The sequence below is a fragment of the Homo sapiens genome, chromosome 4 (assembly GCF_000001405.40).
Source record: "Homo sapiens chromosome 4, GRCh38.p14 Primary Assembly".
Classification (NCBI taxonomy): domain Eukaryota; kingdom Metazoa; phylum Chordata; class Mammalia; order Primates; family Hominidae; genus Homo; species Homo sapiens.
In genome coordinates, this window is record NC_000004.12 from 7,506,351 (window position 1) to 7,522,772 (window position 16,422).

The 16,422-nt window shown below is 54.7% G+C and overlaps 1 protein-coding gene and 2 long non-coding RNA genes across 10 annotated transcripts in view, besides 3 other annotated features; 2 read left to right on the forward strand and 1 right to left on the reverse strand.

The window, feature by feature from the left end:
• The window catches only part of SORCS2 (sortilin related VPS10 domain containing receptor 2), a 550,290-nt gene that overhangs the window by 313,813 nt on the left and 220,055 nt on the right, over positions 1–16,422 (forward strand). The window lies entirely within an intron of this gene.
• LOC124900655 (uncharacterized) lies at positions 2,303–10,170 on the reverse strand. The gene is made up of 2 exons (XR_007058009.1): positions 9,772–10,170; positions 2,303–5,525 (listed from the first exon to the last, which is right to left on the reverse strand). It is a non-coding gene; the product is annotated as an uncharacterized LOC124900655 (long non-coding RNA).
• Positions 2,992–3,492: an enhancer, noted in NCBI's record as "H3K4me1 hESC enhancer chr4:7511069-7511569 (GRCh37/hg19 assembly coordinates)". NCBI's record gives its function as "activates a minimal SCP1, AML or CMV promoter by ChIP-STARR-seq in naive H9 embryonic stem cells {active_cell/tissue: H9 hESC(naive)}" and the evidence as "EXISTENCE:reporter gene assay evidence [ECO:0000049][PMID:30033119]".
• Positions 4,992–5,819: an enhancer, noted in NCBI's record as "H3K4me1 hESC enhancer chr4:7513069-7513896 (GRCh37/hg19 assembly coordinates)". NCBI's record gives its function as "activates a minimal SCP1, AML or CMV promoter by ChIP-STARR-seq in primed H9 embryonic stem cells {active_cell/tissue: H9 hESC(primed)}" and the evidence as "EXISTENCE:reporter gene assay evidence [ECO:0000049][PMID:30033119]".
• Positions 8,460–9,103: an enhancer, noted in NCBI's record as "H3K4me1 hESC enhancer chr4:7516537-7517180 (GRCh37/hg19 assembly coordinates)". NCBI's record gives its function as "activates a minimal SCP1, AML or CMV promoter by ChIP-STARR-seq in naive H9 embryonic stem cells {active_cell/tissue: H9 hESC(naive)}" and the evidence as "EXISTENCE:reporter gene assay evidence [ECO:0000049][PMID:30033119]".
• Positions 8,887–16,118, forward strand: LOC124900654 (uncharacterized). Its single transcript, XR_007058008.1, has 2 exons — positions 8,887–9,292; positions 10,466–16,118. It is a non-coding gene; the product is annotated as an uncharacterized LOC124900654 (long non-coding RNA).

Genomic DNA, 16,422 nt, shown 5'->3' on the forward strand with positions numbered 1-16,422 from the left:
CATTGGGGGAAAAAATAACTCTCTGTTTGCCATGGTGATGGATTTGTCGTTCTCCAATTAGAAGTTGCCAGCAGCTGCAGGCAGAATTGCTTAATCTGCTTGTCTGTCCATCCATTCATCCACCCATCCACCCACCCACCCACTCATTCATTCATTTGTTCATTAGCTGACATCCCGAGATCTACTCTGCTAGGGAAGCAAGATGAACAGTGGAACCCGTAAGTCACAAACTGGCCGCATGGCCCTTGGCTTGTCATTTCCCCCTGCTCTGGGCCTCAGTGCTTCTTTCCCTAAAGGGCAGGTCCTTGTCACTGAACTGGTAGGGCTGTGGGGAGGCATAAATTAAACATCTTTAAAGGACATAGGCTGTGCATTGACTAGTAGCCCAATAAACGTTGCCGGAGACTGGATGTAGTCAGGGAGGGCTTCCTGGAGGTAGCAGACCCTGAAACAGATGTCAAGGGAATAAGTAGACACTTGTCCCTCAATACACAGATACAAAACAACAAACAAATGAAACAAAGCAGCATAGGTAAGTGCCATAAATTAAAATGATACCAACCTATTAAGACATGTAGAAAGAGTGTAGGAAGATTTCCACAAAGGTCAGCTGGTTTTTACTAGACCCCTTGAGCCAGTAAATGAGCCAGCAGCTGTCACAGGAACCCCTCACTGTGATCAGTGGCAGGAGGTTGTGACTGTTAGAGTTGTGTTTCTGAGCATTTATTGGCTTCATCCAGAATTGTGGTATTTTAGACCCAACCTTTATCCTTAGGTTTAGATATTTACATGTATAAAAATGAAAGTGGATAAATTCTTTTTTATTATTATTTATTTATTTTTGAGAAGGAGTCTTGCTCTGTGGCCAGGCTGGAGTGCAGTGGCGTGATCTCAGTTCACTGCAACCTCTGCCTCCTGGATTCAAGTGATTCCCCTGCCTCAGCCTCCTGAGTAGCTGGGATTACAGGCGCGTGCCACCACGCCAGGCTAATTTTTTGTATTTTAGTAGAGACAGGGTTTCACCGTGTTAGCCAGGATGGTCTCGATCTTCTGACCTCCTGGGTCCGCCCCCCTCGGCCTCCCAAAGTGCTGAGATTACAGGCGTGAGCCACTGTGCCTGGCCGATAAATTCTTTTAAAGTTTGTGTAGAAGAATAAGTGTCTAAGAATAGAAAAATTTTCTAAAAATAGAAAAACCAAAGAAAGAGAACTTGTCTTAGAAGCCACTAAATATGCTCTAAACCAAGTGGCACGAAAGTAGACGGTGAATCAGTGGAGTGATTCCACTCAGCACCGTGACACACACACTGACGGACAGACGCTGGGAAGGAATCACGGGAAAGGTGGTTTTTCCAATCAGTGGGGAAAAATGTCAGTGGTCCATTTTGTACTTCCAATGGGGGGAAAAGTTAAGGCATGCTGTGTCTCTCATGAGGGAGCTGGCTGGAACACGGGGTTGGGTCTCTGTGTTCGAGCCATGCGCCAAAATAAATTTTAGGCAGATCCAAGACATAAAAATTTTAAAAATCCAAATATTATTAGAAAAATGAGAATATGTATAACCACTTCAGTGACAAAAAACTCATAGCTGCCAAAAGAAAATGTGGGCACTTTTGAGATGTAAAATGTAATTGTTTGTAAGGCAAAAACACTACAAAAATCAGTGGGTAAAGTGGACTCACGACGGGTACAGGTGCAGGTGTCTGTCCGTGTCGCGTGTCTGCGAGCCTGGAGGAAGTGGTCCCGGCTGGGGTGTTTGGTTTGGTTTAGCCACCTGGGAGTGGGTGGGAGAAGCTTTGTGGTAAAAAATAAGATTGAATTTTAATAAAGCATGTAGGGAGGAAGGGAAGGGGGAGAAGGAGGGAGGGAAGGGGGTGAGGAGGGATGAAGGTCAGGAGGGAGGGAGGGGGAGAGGGAAAAACAGAGGGTGGCCCTAGCACCCATCACCTCTTTCCCACTTATCTGTGACAATGGTTACCTGAGGATGCTGAGATCTCAGGCTTTTTTTTTTTTTTTTTTTTTTGACACAGTCTCACTTTGGCTCATGCTGGAGTACAGTGGCATGATCTTGGCTCACTGCAACCTCCACCTCCCGGGTTCAAGTGATTCTCCTGACTCAGTTTCCCAAGTAGCTGGGACTACTGGCATCCGCTAATTTTTGTATTTTTAGTAGAGACGGGGTTTCACCATGTTGGCCAGGCTGGTCTCAAACTCCTGACCTCAGGTGATCCATCCACCTTGGCCTCCCAAAGTGCTGGGATTACAGGCACGAGCCACCGCGCCTGGACTCAGACTCTTTATACTTATTTTTCTTCTATGTTTATTCATTACTCAAGCTTTTACAGTGCATGCGTTTGATTATATAACCAGAAATAAAGCCACAGATCTATTTTTGTTGCATTTTTAAAAATGGCTGTAGCACGCATCAGTGCTCAGAGAAGAGGCCCAGAGGACTGAAATTAAACTCAATATTGATAAATAGGAGCAAAGAATACTGTGGAAAGAAAATAAAATAGACCAAAAAAGGGAAGGCTAAAATCTGGAGGGAGTGAGCAGAAGTTCTGGAGGGGGCCCGGCTGCAAGCTGCTTTCCCTGGGGACAAGGGTGGCTCGGGAGATGCAGCCACACTGTGAACCTCGCGGAGACTGGGGCCACAGGGTCACGCTGCCTCGGCACGGCGACCTTTCGTGGGTAACCATTCATCTGAGTGCAGACAGCAAATTTCAGGGCTCAAACAGGAGATCAGTACCTGCTTCTGTACATAGAACAGAGTCAGTTACACGTGGCGGAAGAGACCCTGGGGCTGCCCAGGGCGGTGAGGCAGCCCACATTAGAGCTGGGAGCATTCGCTGCCCCCCCAGAGCAAGGGGACAAAGGGAGATGGTGAGGTCCCTGCAGCCTGGGGGCCAGGGCCACCTAGCAGGAACTAGAATCAGTGTGGGCCACAGAGGGGATGGAGAGGGAGAAAGGGAGGGATACCCACAGCCTCTCTTCCCCCTGCTGGAGCCTCCCATTGTGGAGTCCGGTGGGAGTCCTGGGCCAGGCAGTCATAGGGGCCACTTGTAAGTGCTCAGCAGGCCGGAGCACAGAATGGGCTGGGGGCAGCAGGGGGATGACGGCACAGCCAGGACGCATGTGTTGCCCATGAGACATTTCCATGTCCATACTCACCCGCACTCGCCACTCACGGGAGGACTCTGCGGTCGACGCTGGGGCCTCCATCATCCCCATTTTCCAGATGGGAAGTGCACAGCCCACAGGGGGCTGGGGTGAACCACCAGGAAGAAGGGGCCTTGTGGGGCGAGGAAGGCCACGTAGAGTGGGATGGAAGGAGCTGGTGTTGAGGGGAAGCCATTCTGCTGCCAGGCTATGCCCCATCTGGGCTCTGGAGAGAAGGCTGGGGTGGTTCAGCCTCCACCGCCCACCGGGGCTGTGTTCTGGGGCTTGGGGACCCACTGAGGATAGGCTCTGGCTCCTGTCTCAGGAGGGGCCCTGACATAGGGGGTTGGGGGTGGCCCCTTTGCCCCAGCTGTCCAAATCACAAGCTCCACAGGCAGCTGCTTCAGGGGCACGAAATTACATCTCTCTCAAAATACCCCTTTCTTTCTTCTAATTGCCATGAGTAGAATAATCCCACTCTGTCTTCTCTCTCACCCTTGACGGTGAATTTAATTTAATAGACTGTAACTGTGCTGCCTCTGATCTTTAAATGCCATGTTTATTTGCCTCGTTAGAATGGACTCGATGATTGGAGAAAGTGTGGCGATGTCTTGTGAAGTGGGTTTTGACCTGCGCGGGTTTCGGCATTGCTGCCTCGGCAGTCCCAGATTGAAACCGATGTGGATGCAAACGCCTTCCCTTCCCGTCGGGTGGAGCGGCCGGCGGGGCTGAGGCTCCCTCCGCTGAGTGTCCGGGTGGGTCCTGAACTGGAGAGTCCTGCGCCGGCCCCCGATTCGGGGTGAGCGCCCTGCCCTCCCCAGCTGTGGGCAGCCTTGTCCGTGTGGTGTCCTCCGAGCTGACTTACTCCAGGAGGGCGCCCTGTCCTGTCACCCGGCCGTCAGGGAAGGGCACTCCTCACACACCAGGTTGGCCAGGACAGCCGAGGTTAAAACCTGGCTTCATGGTTTCGGCCAGTTCCAGGTCCCCAGAGGACAGCGGCCATGGGCAGTGCAGCCAGGGAGGGGCAGTGCCCTGTTCTGTGCGCGGCATGTCCAGGAAATGCGACCCCGGGGCCAGCGGCTTGTTCTGTGCGCGGCATGTCCAGGAAATGCCACCCCGGGGCCGGCGCCTTGTTCTGGGTGCGGCATGTCCTGGAAATGCGACCCCGGGGCCGGCACCTTGTTCTGGGCGCGGCATGTCCAGGAAATGCGACCCCGGGGCCTGGGCACGTGCTGTTCGCCTTCCCAGATACCCGCATGGACCGACGCTTGCGCATCCAGGTCTCTGCTCAACGTCAGAGTGGAGCCTCCGGGCCACTCTGCACCCAACATCATGCTCTGTCCTCCTTTATTCACAGCACATTGGCCGCCTGACTTCACACTTTCCTCCTTTCTAACATCTGACTGTCCCGTAGTGGGCAGCGCCCCGGGAGCTGGTTACCTACCAGGGAGGTTCGAGGCCGGAACTAGGTCCCCTGCTTTCCCTGTGGTGGGGAAGAGAAGGCCACATATGGTCCCCAGACCTTTCTGTTGTGGGACGTCCACTCTTGACACTATCTCAGGGCGGAAGAGGATGAATGAGGGAGAGAATGGCTCACACAGAAATTCAGAGACATGTAGAGAAGGACAGATCAAGAGAGACAATGACAGACTACATCCACGCAGAGCCCTCCAAGTCACAGTGAGATGGAGGAATGACACGCCCAGAGACATGGACATGGAGAAGTACAGGGACAGAATGACAGGCCAGACAGAGAGCCAGGTCTGTGCAGAGAGAGAGAGAAGGAGGGAGATGGATGGGAGGGGAGACACACACAAATACACAACTAGAGAGAGGGAGGGAGAGAGAGAGAGAGAGTGAGAGGTACACACAAAAAGCCAGAGATCCCTGCAGAGAGAGAGGGGGAGGGAGAGAGGGGCGGGGTTGGGGAGACACACACACACACACACAGATACACACACAACTTGGGGGAGGGGGGGTGGAGAGAGAGACAGAGAAACAGAGAAAGAGACAGAGCAACAGAGAGACAGAGACAGAAGGCCCAGGGGTTGAAGAGAGAGTGAGCCTGGGGTGGGGGCAGAGAGATGGACGCTGGGTGCGTGTTTCTGCAGAGCTGGCCTGGGCGTGGCCCCGTGAAGGCCTATGGTACCTCTGGGGGCTGGGGACAGGTGGGGACAGGGCTGGGTGAAGGCTGCTGCAGCTTGTTTCCTCCTGTTGCTGAGAAAGCAGCTCCTCTGGCTTCCCCGTCTGGAATTCCAGCCCGTCAGCTGTCTGCTGCCCACCCAGACGCTCAGATGCAGAAAATTCAGGCAAGCTTTGGCCTGGCCTGTTTCCAGTTAAGACTCTGTCTTCAGGGGGGAAATGTCCCTAATGGAAAGGAAAACAGAACTGACATTACCCAGGGCCCAAATCCCACCCTTTCTCCCTTTGCAGGTCCTGGAGGGGCACGCGCTGCTGTGGGAGACACGGTGCCCTCCCCAGGAGGCAGCAGTGTGGACACCGCAGGTCTGTTCCTGCGCAATACACAGACAGCACACTGGTGCCTTTAGAATAGAAAAGTTGAGTCACATTCTGGAATCAACCTAGTTAACAGGTCCTGGGATCTAGGAGACCACATCATGGCAGAAACAGATATCAGAGGTGAGCAGTTCTCCAGGCGGTGTCGTTAAGGGAGAGCATCTGAGAGGCTCGCACAGTCACTCATCAACCCATCAGCCATGCCCAAGGCATCTCTGTGGCCGCATCTCGAAGTCCAGCCCAGGGCCAGGCTCATAATAGCTACCCAGTAATGGTGGGATTTGAGTTTGATCAATGGTTGGAAGAAAAAGCAAGGAATGGAAGGAGGGAGGGAGGGATGGAGGGAGGGAGGGAAGAAGGAGGGAAGAAGGAAGGAAGGAAAGAAGGGAGGGAGGGAGGAGGGGGAAGGGAGGGAGGACAGTCACTGAAGGAGGCAGGTAGGAAGTGTCCCTAGAGGGCTGGGGTGGCCAACCAGCAAGGAACCCTTAGTGCCACGGGTGCCACTCACTGGTCTACAGCATAGATCCTCCGGATTGGGCCCCTCCCCCAACCTCAGGCCCCCAGACTCCATCCTTAACCTCTACTTCCCTCTGGCTTTCAACAGGCAGGACAGCAGAGAAGGCCTGCCCCTCCCCACCATACCCCTCCCCGCCCTGCTCAGTCCCATCTCCTCCTCACTCCTGTCCTCGTGGGAGGAGTCAGCCGCCTCCTCACTATGGGGACCTCTGCTTGGCTCCACTCCCTCAGGTGTCACTGTCCTTGTGTGACCCCCACCAGTGGACACATGGGCCCCTTCATCTCTGTAAGGCCAGAAACCCTGCGGAGGGCAGCTTCCTTCCAAAGCCCAGGCTGCCCTGCGGGCCCTGCCCCTCCATGGCCTTGGAGCCGTATTTCTTCCTTTTTCTTGGCACATTTTCACACCTCCCTCCAGGCCGCAGGGGAAAGGAGAGGCTGTAGGAAAAGCCCACATCATTGTTCCTGGAATACAGGAGGTGCTCAAAGGACCATAACCACTGCCTTCTCTGAGGGCAGAAGGAGAGGGTCGCAGCCTGAAGAATCAGACAGACCCAGGTACCCCTGCCTCACACTACTCGCTGTGGGATTCTGTGCAAGTCCTTTCGCCTCTCTGAGCCTCAGTTTTCGAATCTCTAGAATGGGACCGTATGTAGCCATAATGTGAGAGAGCGCTACAGAAAATACCGTGCGCTACAGGTGTCAGTTACACATTAGACTGGGTTATTGCCGTGGATGAGTGGAAGCCATAGCCACAGCCCCCTGGCTCACTGGTCAACAGCTGGCAAAGCACCTGCCCCCCAACCCTGCAGAGGTGGGGCTGCTGGAAGAAGCTCCCCAGAGGGAAAACGGGGCTTCACCTTGGATTCAGGAGTGAGGGCTTGGCAGGGCCTGGAGTTTAGGATTCACCTGCAGCCCAGCCAGGACACTTGGCTCCTAAGCCAGGCCAGAGCCGGGACTGCTGGCCCCCATGTGGAGGTTGGTCCACAGCCTGGGTGCTGGGGAGCCAACAGAGACCCACTCGGTAGAAAGGGGGCAGGTCCTGCTGGTAGAATGAGGTTCCCTGGCCCTGAGGACTCCCACGTGCTTCCAGAGAGATGGATCCCTGCAGTACCCCAAACCCAGCGTTCTGCCTCCCACCTGCCCCAGATCCTCAGATCTGTGGCTGGAACAATCAATTCTGCCTGCTTGCTAAATGACAGCCTTCCTTGGGAACGACTTAACTCGTAATTTTCAAGCGCTTAAAGGCATCTTGTCATTATTTAACTCTCAAATGGGATTCTTAAGAATTGGAGAAATACGTTCTGCCAATTTCCCCGCCTTTGGTTTGCTTGCCTGGAGAGCAGAGCGCATTAAGTTATTATGGTGCTGTGGCTGGAGGCGGGTGACGTGGTCGTGCAGAGACTGAATCAGGGCTGTGGAATGTGGGTGGCTTTCCCCGTACTTTTACTGTCATTTGTTGCCTTTATGGAGCCTGTTTGGGCATCGTGCGTGCATTTCAGCAAACTTTCACTGACTGCTTGGGCTGGGAGCCGAGGACACAGGTGGGGCCAGTGGACAGACCCACAAGCTGCAAGGGGTGGCTGATGTTGGAAGCTGGAGCCGACAGCTCCATGGCATGAAGCGGGGGCCACTCAGCAGGTCCAGACCAGGCCACAGCTATGGCCACCTGACTTGTGACCAGGGTTGCTGCGTACAGCATCGAAGGAAGGAAGACTTGACTAGGTGGTTCAGGCACCCTTGGGTGGGCCTGGCTCACACCTAATACAAAACCCAAAGGGAGCTGTCAGCAATTGGTCCTTCAGGGCGGGAAGAGGCTGCTGCTGCTTCCTGGGGTGTGGGGTGACCAGACACCAGCACTCCTGCCCCTGGGAACCTGACACTGTAGAGGGGCAGACAGATAATAGCAAAACAAAATCCAGGCCTGTTGTCAGGTAGCGATATGTGCTATGAATAGAGGCCAAGCAGAATCCCTGGTAGAGTCATGGCAGGGCTGGTTATAGAGTCATGGCAGGGCAGACACTGGCATGCAGTGAGGGGCTTCCCACGGGGTGTCTGGGAAGGAGAGGAGCACACGCAAAGGCCCTGAGGTGGGACCCTGTGTGGAGGTCACGTTTCCTGGGGTGTACAATGGACAGTGCTTAACTTGAAGCAGTGATGTTGATGACACCATGAGGTACCTGCCAACCAGGGACACCCCTGTGAGCCTTGGTGTCGGGGTTTTTACTTCAGGTCAGTCACGTAGGCCCATGTGGCTGACCTTGATCTCAGCCCCTCCAGAGGTGAGGCTGTATGCCAGGCAGCTCAGGGCCCCCACCATCAATGGGACTGCTGGCATAGACTGTCCGCATGGCCTGGGGCCCTGGTAAGCAAAGCTACTCTTAACTGGCAGGATGTGTCCAAGGGCTCAGAGGTCACCCCCCAGGAATGGTCAGGGGCCAGCCAGCCTTTGGAATGTGAAGGGCATGGACAACCCAGACTTGTGGCGTTAGTTAACCCTTTACTGCTCAGCTGCCAGAGGCCTTCTGCTTCTGGGAGGGATGGGCAGGAAGGGGACCCACCACATCCCAGCCAGTCACTGTGTGGGGACGCTCCCTGCCTCTCACCCTGGAGATAACTCTGAGTGGGAGGCGTGGCTCCCTCCTCTGTACAGAAGGGACGCCTGAGGTCCAGTGAGTACAGTGGCCAGCTCAAGGTCACACAGCTTGTCACCATACTTCCTCCACGGGAGCCTGACATGGGCCTCGGGCACGCACGGCTGTCTTGGAGTAATATCATTAACCATGGAGGTGCCCAGTGGGAGACTGGGTCAGGGGCGGATGAGGCCTTCCCTAGGGCTGGCCACCTGCTGGGGCTGGGCAGGGCACTGGAGCAGGTCTGCGAGCTCTGCTGGGTGGCCTTGGGCAAGCTGGTACCTTCTCAGAGCTGTAGCCTTGGCCCTGGGCCCTCCCAGCGCCTGGCACGAGGGCTCAGCGGGCAGCCGGATGGAGGAGGAGGAGCAGCTTCCTCAGCACATTGAGGAGGCCTGGACACCGTCCATCCTGCTGACTTCCCAGGCTGTGGGGCAGATGCTGCCGCTCGGAACCCACCCGTGCCCTGCAGACGTAAGCCTTTGCTATTGATTGCTTTTCTCTCCAGCAGCATTCACGGACCAGTTTCTGCTGCATGCAAGGTGGGGGTGGGGCTCAGTCTGTTTCATCATCTTGACCATAGGTCAGAGTGGGGAATGATTTTCACATCTGCCCTGCAGCTCTCTGCCTAACACAGGCTGGAGTAGCCCTGGCAAAGAAACACTGACCTCAGGGCCAGGAGACCTCAGTTAAGATCACCCACGGGGCTGCTTGGTTGCCGTGTCACCTCGAGCAAGTGACTCCACTTCTCTGGGCCTGTGTCCTCACTCATGGGAGGGGTCCAATGGAGGCCCAGAAGTCTCAAGGGTGCTCTCGGCTCTCGCAGCAGGGTTTAGGGGCTGGGACCTCAAGTGGGCGTTAGCAGTACCCGTGATGGTGTCTGGGTGGGCACTGTGGTGCTCATTCATTTATTCATTCAAGCATTCATTCCACCCGCATTTACCGGTACTCACTCCATGCTGGGCATTGGGCTGAGAGGTGGCTAGAGAGCTGGTCAGATGCAGTCCTGGTCCTCCTGGAGCTCACAGGCAGCTCCAAGGAGAGGAAATCCATCAATGATGAGACAGGCGTCACAGGTCATTTCAAGCATGCAGAAAGGGAATGAGAAGGCCCAGCTGGGCGTGGGGAGGGACGGCAGGCCTCTTGCTCTTGTTTTCACCTTCCTAAGGCTCTGCCTCTCCTCTCTGAACCTCCCTTCCCTCCCATCTGGCCTGTTGTTAGGGGCTCTGGCTTCATCCTGAAGGTGCTGGGACCCTGCAGGTTGTTCAGAGGCTGATTTGCACCACGTGGGAGGAGAGGCACCTAGAGTGGGCTGAGGAACAGAGAACGCCGGGTGTTTGGCTGTTGCGTCTGCAGATTTTATCCGCTTGCAAAACACAGTTCCATGTGGGCAGGGACCTGGAGGGGTGGGGGCGGTGCTGCTTTTCCTTGGTGGAATGCCCTGGCCTTTTTATGCAGGACAGGCGTCGGGGCTGCACGGAGTCTGGGAGTGTGGGGAGAGGGTGCTTTCCAGGAACACGGCATGAAGTTCCCAGAAGGAACTGGGCCACACTCATCCCCTGCCTGCAGCTGAACCAGGAAGGGAGCCTCCCCTTCTCGGCATGGTCCTAGCTGCCGTTGAATTGTCACTCTCATCCACGTTTGCAGGTACAGGTGTGAGAAGTCTCCTCCCTCATCATCCCCTTCAGGCAGCAGCTACTGCTGAGGAGTTGGGGCCGCATGTTGTGAGGGCCCCATTCACAGCTTGGGAGCCAGGCTGCAGTGTTCAAGCTCAGCCCCTCTACCTCCTCCCTCCTCCTCTGGTTGGTGAGAATGTGCTAGTCCTCCGGCTGGGTGTTGAAGGGACTCAACGAGCTAACGCGTCCAGCATACCCAGCGCTTGGAAGTCGACACAGGCGTGACTGAGGGGATTTGTCATCGCCATGATTACTACTACAGCCACCCGATTTACTGCTGTCTTTAGGAGTTTTCTGATCAGACACACTGAGGACACGCATGGTGATTATGTCTGTGGGTCAGTGTTAGTGTTAGCTAGTCAGTGTTGCCGTTGACTTATCCCTTGTTTTGGATTCCATAACATCTTCCCACTCAAAACTTTCAGCCGGGTTTCCACAATCGCACGACTCGAAGCATCCTCTAAGCTTTCCAGAGAGGGGCAGTTGTTTGTGTTAATTGTGTCTTATTTCCTAATGAATTTTTGTATCTTATATGTAAATATTATCATGCATGTTTTAAAGTAGAATTCCCTTTCAGATGGCTCTGACCTCATCTACTTGTGTCTTGGGCATTTTTTCCTTCTCTTTGAAAACACTCAATACGTCATTTGGACTGCCTTCAGCAGAAACCGAATACAGTCAACAGTGCCTCGAAAAATCAGTTTAGAGTGTCAGATTCTATAATCTGCGAACTGGCATACGAAAATGTTATCATTTTGTTCCAGGACCCCCTAAGAGTAAACGGAGGCTCTCCTTTGAAAAATATTGAGTTGTAAGAGTTACTTGGATCTAAGAAGACATTTTTTAAAAAGCTGCATGGAGGCTCAGAGCATCCCACTGATGAGCCTCCCTCCTAGAGCTTAACCCTGGGAAATTACCCAGGACACAGAGGCTGGGGAGGAGTTAAAATAATGAAAATGTTGTTCACGAAGGGCACCATTGCTTGTCACAGCAATGAAGAGAAAAAAGTGGATTTCCACCACGCACAGCACGTGGTAGGCACTCTGTTTGCAGAACAGATTTGAAAAAGTTCAGCCTAAGGAATGACCTGTCAATAATGCCACACACGCTGGACGGAATATTACACAGCAGGCAGAACATGCTGAGTATTTTGTGATAAAATCAGAACACAGGTCTGTGTGTGCCTTGTAACTGAAATACTGCAAATATGCTCACACAGGGACCAGGGCTAGACAGGAACAGAGGAGGCAGTGGACCTGGTGGATGGTTAAGGTGCAGCTTCTTTTCTTCTTCTTAGCGTTGTTGTTCTCAATTGTTTCATTATTTTTAAAGGATTCCAAGAAGAACTGAGGATACATTAGCGTATCAGGAAGGGCATTTATTGATCGTATGTGGATTGCTACGTTTCTATCTAAGATAGATTCCAGGTCACAGGGTGGGTTAACCCACTGGGCTTGATCTCAAGCCCAGTCTCTGGTCTGTAACTTGGCGGCTCACACGCACCCTCTTTGGGCTTCTCCAGCTCTGCCCTGTCCATCAGCCCGTCCCACTTCACTCCTGCTGGGAATTCCTAGGCAAGTCCTCTCCACAGAAGGCAGCTGCTGGGTGCAAAAGTTCTTTTGCTGTGTGTCTCGTGGGGACTGCAGAGTCCAGCTAATTCCATTGTGTTGTTCTTTGCCTCATTCTATTTGGGTCTCCTGTTTGAAGTAACACTCTGGGTTTTAGAGTGGTTTCCATCCTCCCAAATAGGTTGGTTCCTGGGGACAACGTGGGGCCAGTGTGACTCATGCCCAGCAGCGGGAGAAAGAGGTAACTACCCTGGTCCATTCACAGGAGGTGCTCGTGTGTCCTTCCTGACCAAGTGCAAAGCGATGGGCAAGTGCCGGTTTTCTCTCAGCCCATGTGTACTCTCCACCATGTCAGGCCAGAGACTCACCTCTACCTGGCCATAAACTCAGCCTGCCCCCCCGGCCCCCCATCAAACGCAGCTTCCCCCAATTAACCCAGAAGTCGCGGGCTGTGTCCGGATCATCGGACGGCTGCTTCACAGTGAGGAACAACACAGTGCCAAGTACAGCTTCAGCCTCGCACCTGCTGCCTGTGGGAGCTGCCAAGGTAACTGGCACCTCCTTCACCCATACCTGCTGCTGCTGGCAGCCTCGGGCTTGCAGGCTCTGGCATCCCAGCTGGCTGGCATGGGACTGGAGGGTGGCTCTGTCACCCGCCGTGGCTCTTGGAAGTGTGCCCGGCGGAGGGCTCGCAGAGCAGCTGTAGAGCAGGCATATCTGCTGGAGGTTGACAAGGCTCTGCATGCCGAGGGGAGCACCGGCAGCTCTGCCTGTGCCGGGAGCATGACCAGGGAGCTTCCAGGAGCTCGGCCTCGTTCACCGTGGATGGTTATACACAAATTCTAAAGACTCCATCAGTTGGGACAAGAGCCATTGCAAACATCCCACCTTGTGCCATTTTAAGACCTCCAGACATAAAACCAGCGAGAACCACAATGCCACTTCCCTCCCACAGAGCTGGAAGCCCACAGCAGATGCATAGTTTGGAACTCAAGTCAAATAGAGTCTCGTTTCATCCTTTCTGACCCCAGACAAGTGAGTTCACGTCGTGAGTCTCAGTCTCCCTGTCTGCACGGGAACAGCTGGAATGGGGATTAAAGAAGCAACCCAGCCAGTGTCTGGAAGAGACCCAGCACGTGGCGGCCACGGTGAAGCTGTGTCTGCCATTTTCACCTTCCAGCGCTGCTGCCTGTGCCTGTAAAACTTGGCTGCTCATCACCTTTCTAGAACTTCTGCCCTCATCCCTTCATTGCTGCTGGCATGGAGCAACCTGCTTCCTTAGCCAGCACTGGCTGATCTCAGGGGAGGTCCCCGCAGCACCCACACCTCTTAGTCTGACCCATTCTGCCCCTCCTTCCCCCTCAGCTCCTGCAGCTCCTTGGCCCGGCCTCCCAGAGGGCGCACATGGGGGCTTCTGCCGTGCTAGAGCAGCAGCTGCATTTCAGTGGTCTCTGTGCCTGCTCTCAGCCCCACAGGATCCTGGGCTCCCCTGTTAAGCAGGCGGGGCAGGGAGCATCAGTCACTTGTAAAGGAGCTGGGGCAGCCTGGAGTTAGGCCCCAGGGCTCCTGCTCTGCCAGTTCCAGGCTTACCCCCTTCAGTGCTGGCCCCTGAGGAGGTGCCGGGTCAGCCTGGAGGAGGAGAGCCCTGGTGATGAGGGCCCTTGGGGGCTGTAGGGTGGCGCTGTTGGCTGACCAGGGTGGACTCACTTCCCAGTTTGAGCCACTCGTACAGTTGCACGGCACCGCTGGCTGCAGAAGTTCCCCGCCCAGCCACGTGCACGCCTGGTCTGGATGCAGCCTGGCATCGCGCCGATGCTCAGGAGAGGTCTGGAAAGGAACTCTGGCACTGGAGGGGTTCAGTTACTGCAGGAGTTTATAGATAGCGAGGGATTCGCTGAAAAGGACCAATTCTCATGCAGTCAGTGAGACACAGTTGGCGAAGAGTAAATTGAGGAGGTGTGTGCTGGTTTTCCGTGGGTCAGGTCCGAGGTCATGCCCCTATTTCCATCCCTAAGGTGTCAGTAAAAGCTGCAGGCAGGGGCACTGATGGTGGAGGAGGGGTCCTCTGGGATTGCGCCCAGCCCAGCTTCATTCTGGAACGATCTGCTAGTGAGTGTCACAGCCCCCAGCACCAGTGGGCTCAGAATACCAGCAAGCCGTGGCAGGCAGCTGAACCCACATGTGGAAGGGCTGGTTGGGAGACGCGGCTCAGGGCGTGGATGCAGAGAGGTGGGCACAGGCACCGGGGGTGGCCCTAGGGGTGCTGCCCCTGTGGGTTCAGACACAGAAAATCAGTTGCCTCTGTTGCCGCCAGCCCTCTCCGCCCACAGGGCACACTGCCAGGGCTGAGTCTGGGGGTGAGGTGGAGTTAAGGAGATGCCCAAGCCCATGGGTAACGCACAGGTGAAATGACACAGCTCCTGCACTGGGTCGGGCTGCAGTCAAGGTCCAGCTGCTGGCATTGGAGAATGTCAGAGGTGCCCAGGACGTGCAGGGTGGGTGCCATGCCACCCCAACCCCTCTGGGGCATTGGTGCACGGATCAGGGGACAGCCTGGGAAGCTCAGAGAAGACAAGCCTGGAGCCACTGCGTGGCCCAACACTGAGTTTTCTGATGTTGCTATAATCTTGGGCGAGTTACTTAATGTTCCTTGGGACTCAGTTTCCTGGTCAGCGAAATGGGAAGGTGTCCTCCTGTTCTGAAGTGATAGTAAGGTCTCGGTGAGGTTCCCTTCACTCTGTCCTCTGCTGGTGTCCAGAGCATGGTGGGCAATGATCTCGCTAACTCCTCCCCAAACAGCTTTCGTGCTGAAGGGCATCCTGCTCTCTCCCTGTATCTCTGTGGGTCGTGGGTTCAGATCCTGCTGCCTTCGCTGCTGCGTATTTGGGTGACTTGCCTGGCAGGGTCTCCTCGTCCCTAACACTGGGCACCCCCTCCGGCACCGGGCTGCACTTCCTTCCCCTCTGTTCACCCACCTCGCTGGCGCCTGATGCCCCCTTTCACACTCAGAATCTGGAGCGCCTTCTGGAATTTTATTGAACAACTTCACTGTCCCACAATTGCCCTGTGTCACCTTAGTTCCCTCTTCCTCTCTGATCCTGGGAGGGTTTGTTAGAAAGTCTGGGTACCTCTTCGCGGGTTCTGTGGAGCCATCGGGTCCTGGGCGCCACAGCGGTCTGTGTGTCTTCTCATCTCACAGCACAGACCTAGCCTGAACTGGAACGTGACCGAAGCTCAGAATGAATTCCCCTGGGAAAACACATCTGCAGCACCTGTCACCTCTGCTGAGACTGAGGTTCCAGTCTGGGGTTCCCTTTGGGCAAGTCCCTTTCCCACTGGGCCTCAGTTTCCCCATATATAAAGTGCAGGTGTGAATACATGTACCCTCAAGAGGGGTTCTGGGGTCCACTCAAGGGGCCTTGCAGCTGCCAAGTGCAGAACAGGTGCTGGCACTCAGCCTCGCAGCTGTTAGGGACACAGCGGCTGCGTCTTCAAGCAAGGGGTGGTCCATGCCGTAAGCAGGGGACAAGCTGGAGCACACCGGCTTCCCTTCAGTGGCACAGTGACACAGGCAGTGCCACCTGCCCACCACTCTGTTCCTGCTTCGTGCATGTTCTACACACACCTCTGGAATCCTCAGGACAGGCACAGGAGGTCCGCTTCATTAACCCTTTGTTCAGATAGAAAAAAATCCTAAGTCTCAGAAAGGTGTAAACCTTGCCCAAGGCCAGAGCTTGCAGGCGGGTGCTGCCTTTCACACCTGCGCGTGTGACTTCCGTGTTCGCAAGTGGGAGTGGGGCGAGCAGGGGCTCCTCACCCTGAGGAGGAGGGGTGGGCACTGCACATACGTCCCCGCCAATGGAGTAATTATAGGGGAGGAAAATGGCTTCATTAAATCATTTTTAAGAAGTGAATATGTACAAACACTCAGCAGTTAAGCAGCCGATTTGCAGACAGCAATTTTCCAACTGCGCTTGCCTTCCATGTTTCTATTTGCCCGTTTTTAGACTCTGGTTTTTTATTTTTAATTGGAATAAATGTAGATTGGAATGATCAGCTCCTGAGTTGCTGGGTGCAGTTAAAGAACTTGGTGATGGTGCAGCTACTGAATGCTGGGGAGGTCACCTGCGGGACGGCACCAGGCACAGAGAGAGGAGGCGCTCAGTAAGCGCTGTCGTCCTACTCCTCTCCTGCCTCTTCCCCTTCCCCTTTTCCCTCCCTCCTCCTCCCTCCTTTTCTCCCTCCTTCTTTCCTCCTCCCTTTCTTCCCTCTTCTTCCTCCCTTTTCCCCCATCCTTCCCCTTCTCCCGTTTTCCCTCCTTCCTTCCTTTCTTTCCTCTCCCTCCTTTTCCTCTTCCTTC